General features: G+C 51.8%; 1 protein-coding gene across 2 annotated transcripts in view, besides 3 other annotated features; it reads right to left on the reverse strand.

Annotated features, from left to right (window-relative positions):
- TBC1D10A (TBC1 domain family member 10A) overlaps positions 1 to 2,997 on the reverse strand; it is a 34,952-nt gene extending 31,955 nt beyond the window's left edge. For both annotated transcript variants that reach the window (NM_031937.3, NM_001204240.2), the window contains exon 1: positions 2,729 to 2,997. In NM_031937.3, coding sequence (NP_114143.1) covers positions 2,729 to 2,937 — 209 coding nt within the window. In that variant the 5' untranslated portion in view covers positions 2,938 to 2,997. The remainder of the gene's footprint in view (positions 1 to 2,728) is intronic.
- Positions 1,404 to 2,353: an enhancer, noted in NCBI's record as "H3K27ac-H3K4me1 hESC enhancer chr22:30721337-30722286 (GRCh37/hg19 assembly coordinates)". NCBI's record gives its function as "activates a minimal SCP1, AML or CMV promoter by ChIP-STARR-seq in primed H9 embryonic stem cells {active_cell/tissue: H9 hESC(primed)}" and the evidence as "EXISTENCE:reporter gene assay evidence [ECO:0000049][PMID:30033119]".
- Positions 2,570 to 2,619: a silencer, noted in NCBI's record as "silent region_13607". NCBI's record gives its function as "represses an Ori minimal core promoter by ATAC-STARR-seq in GM12878 lymphoblastoid cells {active_cell/tissue: GM12878}" and the evidence as "EXISTENCE:reporter gene assay evidence [ECO:0000049][PMID:35858748]".
- Positions 2,920 to 3,249: a silencer, noted in NCBI's record as "silent region_13608". NCBI's record gives its function as "represses an Ori minimal core promoter by ATAC-STARR-seq in GM12878 lymphoblastoid cells {active_cell/tissue: GM12878}" and the evidence as "EXISTENCE:reporter gene assay evidence [ECO:0000049][PMID:35858748]".

Below are 8,043 nucleotides of genomic sequence, written 5' to 3' on the forward strand. Positions count from 1 at the left end.
TGGGTGACAGAGCGAGACTCCGTCTCAAAAAAAAAAGATCCCTTACAGTGCAGTCTATGGTTTTTTTAATCTACTCATGCCATGTAGCTAATAGTCACCTCAGTAAGGTAGCCTGTGACCTGCTTTCTTACCCCCAGGCCTGGCAACTTCCACATCCAAAATGTCTTAAGACAACCTTTGGCCCAGGGTAGCTGAAATGGACCTTTAATCTGGAGTCAGAGTCCCCACCATCTCCACAGTACCCATGAGGGCTAACGTTTCACTTCTCTAGCATAGAACATGGACTCCTAGCCTTCAACCACGAGACTGGGTTCAGGGCGGTCACCCTGAAGCTTTCCATAACTTCCCCTCTATGGCCTTGGGCAGGGACTTACTCTTGGCTTTTTTGAAACCACAATATAAATTAAGTAGGGAACATCGAAGCTTTCAGATACCAGAGATTTTAGGTTGACTGACAGGCTCCAGAAAGTGAGGGAAGGAGAGAGGACTGGAGCTGGGATCCCACCTCAGCCCCAGCCCTACAGACAGCAGCCATGTAGAGGGTGTCTGCAGAGCCACATCCCGGGTTTGTGGTTGTGGGGTAAGAAAGACAGATGTCTGGCTGCCTGGTTGGGGACTACAGCCAAAGGGAGGTGCTTCCACTGGGGCCTCACTCTGCCCACAAATACCAGAGATATGCCCTCATTTTTCTCTTCATTTCTCAGACCCTTAGAAGGAAAGAAAGAAAACTAACATTTTCTGGGCCGCTACTTGTGACAAGCGCTGTGCCAGGCACCTTCACGTATCATATACTCATTTAACCCCCAGAGTAATGTTGGGAAGTGGGTGTTACTGTCGCCCTTTACAGTGAGTAAACAGGCTCAGAGATTCAGGATCTTGCCCAAGGTCACAAAGCTAGCAAGTGTAATTCCTAAGTTTGGCCTTTTCCTAATATATCACATTGCTCTGCACCCCAAGATCTGGTTGATTGCCTGATAAGCATGTAGTAGGAACTCTCATGCCCTAGCATTCTCCCACAAATCTGAGCTCTTCCTTCCAAGGTCCCATAAATGCAACTGGGAACTCCTTTCCTAGATCTCAAGACCACACACCTCCCTGGGTCCTAATCCCAGGTGACTGCTCCTCAATTCAAAACACTCCAGGTCCCCACTAAGTTCTCACAAGTGAATCCCTGGGGAACTGTGACAAAGCATCAGTCAGGGTGAGGGTTCAGAATGAGGGGTGCTCTCTCTGAGTCCTGGACTAAACCTAGCCTGCTGTGAGCCAGTAGGGAGATACTGGAGGAGACAGATCCAGTGGGTGAGAGGGAACTCCCCTTAGGGGAGGGGCCTGGATTTCTCCAAGGAAGAAGGAGGCCTGGTGAATAAGAGGCTTTAGGGCTGGGGAAAATCCCGGAAGTGACAGGGGTTCTTAGACAGTTAAAGCGCTTCCATAAGTCATGAGAGAGTCTGGGGTGACCTTGGACAATCTCAATTGGTCAGAGAAAGGGAGAAAGGATATTCTCTGGAGTAGGGTCATGGCAGGGCCCCAGGAGCTCCTACTGGTGATTGGGATGGAAAGCACACATCAGGAGGGAGTCTTGTCAGTTCTGTGCACAACACTGGTCTCACGTGACAGGACAGCTGGGATGGGAGTGGGGTATGGAGTCCATCTTTCCTAAGGGGACCGCCAGCCTGTACACATGATCTCTGAGGCCTGGGCTCGGGGGATTCTGTGGGGCAACATGGGGCCCAGCTTGGAGGCAAGGTGCTGTTCCACTGCCCCACATTTCTCTGTCTGCTAGCTGGGTGTCTGGGTGCTCTCGGGATAGGACATCGGGGGGTGCTAATATGAGCAGGGACCCTGCTGTCTCCCTGCCTGCCCCCGTCCCACGCCCAAGATCTGCCCTTGGGAGGAGGCGCATACATACACAGGACATACACAGAGCCCATCTACTGGCTCCTGTGGCTGCTGGAGCTGATGGTCTGTCCTAGTGGTGGGGCTCCCTGTCGCCCTGTACGTGCTGGGAAGGGGGAGTACCTGCCCACCTGTTGCCAGTGCCAGTGGAGGAAGCTGTGTATGAGCGGATAGGGGGCCCTTCTCCGACCCTTCCATGAGGAGAAGGGACTGTCTGTCCCAGGATGGAGCTGAGGGGAGGGAGGTGACCAATGTCTGTCCATCCAGAGGTCTGTATGCCTCGAGGAAAGGGTCAGTCTGTCCTGGGAAGGGGTGGGGGCGGGGCAGTCAGTCCTGAAGTCGGTCTGAGGTCTCCTGGTGTGGGGGCAGTGAGGCGGGGAGACAAGGGCGTCTGTGGGTTTGTGGGAGGGGGAAAGATGGAGAATGAGTGTCTATGGAGGGGGGCGCCAGCCATCTGGGAGCCTGTCGGGGTGGCAGAAACAATCATCCCTAAGGTCTTGGCGGCAGGGGTGGGTTTGGGGCAGTCTGTCATTCTGTTCCACGGCTGGAAGGAGGGCACAGTCGGTCCTTCCTGGGAGCGGGTCAGTCTGTCCGGAGGGTGGAGGTGGCGGGTGGAGGTGTGGGCCCGTCCGCCCCCTGGGTCGGAAGTAGGACTGCGAAGGGGGCGGGTCTAGGAAGGCAGGGGTGGTGGGGGTGGGGCAGGGGAGGGAACGGGGATTAGTGGTCCCTGCCTGGGAGGGGGACGTGTCGGCAAGTCCCGAGGGCGCCTCCGTCCGTGTCGAGGCCCCTCGCGTGGGTGGCGCGCTCAGTCCCGACCCCCGGCGCTACTCACGCGCCCTCGGCGCCCTGCGAGCCCACGATGAAGCCGAACTTGTCGATGCGGCGCTCGGCGAAGCCGTTGGCCTCCGAGTCAGACCCGAGAGAGCTGAGTTCGTCGGTGGTTGCGGCGTCGGGGCCCTGGGCCAGGCTCTCCCGGGTTCCCGACAGGCTTTCCCCGGCCGCGGGCGCGCGCGGCCCATTCTCTCCGTTGCTCTTCGCCATCCCAGCCGCGCCCGCCGCCTGAGCTCCAGCGGCCACCTCAGCCGCCCTGCTGCCGCCGACGCCCCGCCCACGCGCGGCGCCTATTGGCCGCCGCAAGGCCGGGGGGCGGGGCTCCAGGCCCACCCCGGAGCTCTCCCCCCACGCCCAATGGGCGCCGCGGACCCCGGGCCCCGCCCACCCTCCCCCGGCGGGCGCCAACAAGCCCGAAGTGAGGGGGCGGGGCAGCCGTCACCGCAGCCCTCCCCGCCCTCCTCCGGGCTGCCAATCACAAGAACTCACCTGGACGAGCTCGGGCCTTTCCGGGTTGGCTCCAAGCGGGGCCTGTCACCTACTGCAGAGCGCGAGCCGGAGGCCCAGGGCTTCCTCCATGGATTCCTCATCTGCCTCCTGAGCCCCGCTCCCTGCGAGACCCCAAGGACGTGGTAGGGATTGTTTGCCCCATTCATTTATGAGGAACTCTGAGGAGGCCCAAGTGAGTTCAGGGACGCAGAGCGGCTTAAAGGCCCAGCCTGAGCCAGAAGTCTGGCAGTCCCATTGCACTCACTGCTTCTGGGGCTTTAAATTACCTCGTGAGACCTAATTATTAATAATCACCAGCGTTTACTGAGCCACGCACGCCCGAAGCTCTACCTACTTTCTCCTGTAGTCTTTTCCCCAGCAGTTTTATGGAACATAAACATACCATAAATTCACGTTTAAAGTGTACAATGATTTTTAGCATATTTACAGAGTTGTGCAGCCATCACAACATTCTAATTTTAGAACATTTTCATCACCCCAAAAAGAAACTCCTACCAATTAGCAGTCACTCCGCATCCTGGCTCCCCCAGTCCCTGGCAACCACTAATCTGCTTCCTGTTTCTATAGATGTCCCTTTTCTGGATATTTCATATAAATGGAATTATACAATATATGGCCTTTTATGTCTGGATTCTTTCTCTTGAACATTTTCAAGTTTCATCCACATTGTAGCATGTATCAGTGCTTCTGGATTCACATCTGCCCCAGGTATGTCTGACTCCACCCCTCCCTTTCCTGGGATAGGCCCACACCGCCATGAAAGACCTATACTGCCCCTCCTGGGAGCTGGGACTATACCAGATTTTGTTTTTCCATTCATCAGTGATGGTCATTCGCGTGTTTCTAGTTTTTAGCCATTATGAATAATGCTGCTCTGACCATTCAGGTACAAGCTTTTGTGTGGGGGCCTTATGTTTACATTTCTCTTGGATAGATAAGGAAGAGTGGAATTGCTGGGTCATATGGCAACTGTTTAACCTTTCGAGGAACTGGCAAACTGTTTTCCAAATTGGTTGCAACATGTCTTGTAATCTCTTAGCAATGAGGTATACACCATTATTAGTCCCATTTTACAGTTAAGGAGACTGAGGTAAAGTCAGTTGCCTAAGGTCCCAGAATTAGCTGTGAATATAGCCAGGATTCGAACTTAGCTCTTACCAACTGCCTATATTTGGAGGGATGGGCCGATTTTATCTATATGGGCTTAGCCCCAAGCAGCTGATTTCTGACCCTAGAGATTGTCAACTCTTGGATCTATAATATAATGATAGCTCCTCGCTTATGTCTAGTACTTTATGGTTTACAAGTCACAGTATATTGTCATCTGACACTCCCTGCAGACCTGTGGGAGAGACAGGCCTAGAGAGGGGAAGGGACTGGAAGACTCAGACCTGGCTGCAGGGCCTGGGACAGACTATTCAGGGCCCCAAGGCAAGCCCCAAGAGGGGGTCTTGAGCCTTGAGTGATTTCACCTTGATGCCATGTGGCCTGGACATTCTTGATGGCGTCATTGTACAATCCTCACATTCCATGAGCTTCTGGCTTTCCATAAACAAGGCAAGAACAGACATGGGAGTGGGCACAGGCTATTTTGGTCTTAAACCCTCAGTCTAGGAGGATGTTCCTTCTCTTCAGTGACTCCAGACAGTGGTGGGCTCCTGGTCCCAGCTCCCAGGAGGGGCGGTATGGGTCTTTCATGGTGGTATGGGCCTATCCCAGGAAAGGGAGGGGGAGGAGCCAGACATACCTGGGGCAGATGTGAAGCCTCAAGTACAGCAAAGAAAAGTATCCACGACCCTTTGACTTCATGATTCTATCCCTAGGGTTATATCCCAAACATGTTCTTACTCAGCTCTGTGAGGGCACAAATATAGAGACGTTCACCCCAGGGATATTTGGGGAGGGGGTAGATTAGAGACCCTGAGTGTTCATCTTTAGGAGACTGTATAGATGTTACTCCAGTGATGCTTCAGCTTCTAATTTTCTTTAATCAAACCACCAGGATTTGAATTTATGCTCTGTGACCTTGAGCAAATTACTTCTCTCTGAGCCCATTTCCTCATCTATAAATTGGAAATTCTGAAAAAATTCTTCCTTGGAAGAATTGTGCTGAGACTTTAGTGTGACAGTATGCGCTAAACACCTGGCACATGGAGAAGCCCAGTAAATAATGGCCAGGAGCTGGGCGCGGTGGCTCATGCCTGTAATCCCAGCACTTTGAGAGGCTGAGGTGGGTGGATCACTTGAGATCAGGAGTTCGAGACCAGCCTGGCCAACGTGGTGAAACCCCGTCTCTATTAAAAATTCAAAAATTAGCTGGGCGTGGTGGCAGGCGCCTGTAATCACAGCTACTCAGGAGGCTGAGGCAGGAGAATCGCTGGAACCTGGGAGGCAGAGGTTGCAGTGAGCAGAGATCACACCACTCCAGCCTGGGTGACAGACAAGACTCCATCTCAAAATAAATAAATAAATAAATAAATAAATAATGGCCAGGAGTGGTGGCATTTGAAGCTTGCAAAAGGAATTGCAAATTCATTATTGTCTTGAGTGTTCCCCATCACAGCCTGTGGCTGCAGCGGGGGAGTTTGCCCAATTTAACCTATGGCACGTGGCTTGGGAGACTTCACTTCGTGGCTGTGCCCCTCAACAACTGGGTGTCCTTGTGTGAAATTGCTAACTTTTGTATTTTTTTGTAGAGATTAGGTCTTACTATGTGGCCTAGGATGGTCTTGAACTCCTGGGCTCAAGTGATCTTCCCGCCTTGGCCTCCCAAATTGTTGGGATTACAGGCGTGAGCCTCCATGCCTGGCCAAACTCCAGAGTTCTTTATTTAATACACCTATAATGAGCCAGACATTAGTGCAGGGGTGTCCAACCTTTCGGCTTCCCTGGGCCACACCGGAAGAAGAATTGTCTTAGGCCATACATAAAATACACTAACGATATAGCTGATGAGTTAAAAAACATTGCAAAAAAAAATCTCATAATGTTTTAAGGAAGTTTACAAATTTGGGGCCGGGCGCGGCTCATGCCTATAATCCCAGCACTTTGGGAGGCCGAGGAGGGCGGATCATGAGGTCAGGAGATCGAGACCATCCTGGCTAACACGGTGAAACCCCGTCTCTACTAAAAATACAAAAAATTAGCCGGGCGTGGTGGCAGGAGCCTGTAGTCCCAGCTACTCGGGAGGCTGAGGCAGGAGAATGGCGTGAACCCGGGAGGTGGAGCTTGCAGTGAGCCGAGATGGCGCCACTGCACTCCAGCCTGGGCGAAAGAGCAAGACTCTGTCTAAAAAAAAAAAAGAGAAAGTTTACAAATTTGTGTTGGGCCACATTCAAAGCTCTCCTGGGCCATGGGTTGGACGAGCTTGCTCTAGTGAATAAGAGAGATGAAGTCCTGGCCCAATAGAGTTTATAGTCCAGTGGAGGAGGGACAACATGAACAAGCACAGAACATCTATCAGGTAGTGAGAATAAGAAAATAAAGCCAGGTAAGGTATGGAGAATGCTGGAGTAGGTGTTGGGGAGGTGGTATGGGCTGAAAATGAGGGACCCCTTCTGCAGGACTGAGAATAGTGTACAAGCATGGCAGCAGATGATTTTCCCCTTGAAGGAGAAGGAGGCTGTGTTGTTAGATTGGAGTGAGAAAGCAAGGGCAACAGTGAACCAATGAATAAATGATCAGAAAGGAGCCCTGCAGAATCACGTGGTTCACTGGAATAAAGAATTTAAGAGGCCTTAGGCAATGCTGTGGAACATCCTGGTGAACTGGCTGTTGGAGACATTCTTTTGAAGATAGAATGTGTTGATATCCCAGAGTCTCATCCTGCTGGGGTCATTCCCAACAGCTGGGCTTGAGGATCTCACATAGGCCCCTCTCCTGGATCCTGGAATGTGCAGTTGGCATGTGCTCAGGAAACCTGTGAGCACTGGCCATGAGCAAAAGTCCAGATGCCCTTTTTTTTTTTTTTTTTTTTTTTGAGACGGAGTCTTGCTCTGTTGCCCAGGCTGGAGTGCAGTGGTGTGATCCTGGCTCACTGCAACCTCCACCTCCCGGGTTCAAGAGATTCTCCTGCCTCAGCCTCCCAAGTAGCTGGGATTACAGGCACCTGCCACCTGTTATAACAGTATTCTCTGTAATGATCTATTTTAATTTTAATTTAAAAAAACTTTTTTAGAGATGAGTTCTCACTATGTTGTCTAAGCTGACTTTGAACTTCCTGGCTCAAGCAATCCTCTTACCTCAACCTCCCAAGCAGCTGGAACTACAGGTGTGTCACTGTGCCTGGCAGGAGTTTATCTTGTCCTGCTTCATGGACTGTAGTGTCCAGGGGTACCTAGAATTGTTCACTTACATGCTGGGAGCAGTGTCAGGGCATGGTGTCAGGGAACTCACCAGGCAGTGTTCTTTTATATAACAATGCAGCCTTTTTTTTTTTTTTTAGACAGAGTTTCAATCTTGTTGCCCAGGCTGGAGTGCAATGGTGCTATCTCAGCTCACCACAACCTCCACCTCCTGGGTTCAAGCGATCCTCCTGCCTCAGCCTCCCAAGTAGCTGGGATTACAGGCATGTGCCACCATGCCCGGCTAATTTTGTATTTTTAGTAGAGACAGGGTTTCTCCATGTTGGTCAGGCTGGTCTTGAACTCGCGACCTCAGGTGATCCGCCCGCCTCGGCCTCCCAAAGTGCTGGGATTACAGGTGTGAGCCACTACACCTGGCAACAATGCAGAATTAAAAAAATGTAACAATACAGAATAGTTAACAGCAAATCTCCATATCTGGTAGAGTTAATGATCATAACTC

This window comes from Homo sapiens, chromosome 22 (genome assembly GCF_000001405.40).
Source record: "Homo sapiens chromosome 22, GRCh38.p14 Primary Assembly".
NCBI lineage: Eukaryota > Metazoa > Chordata > Mammalia > Primates > Hominidae > Homo > Homo sapiens.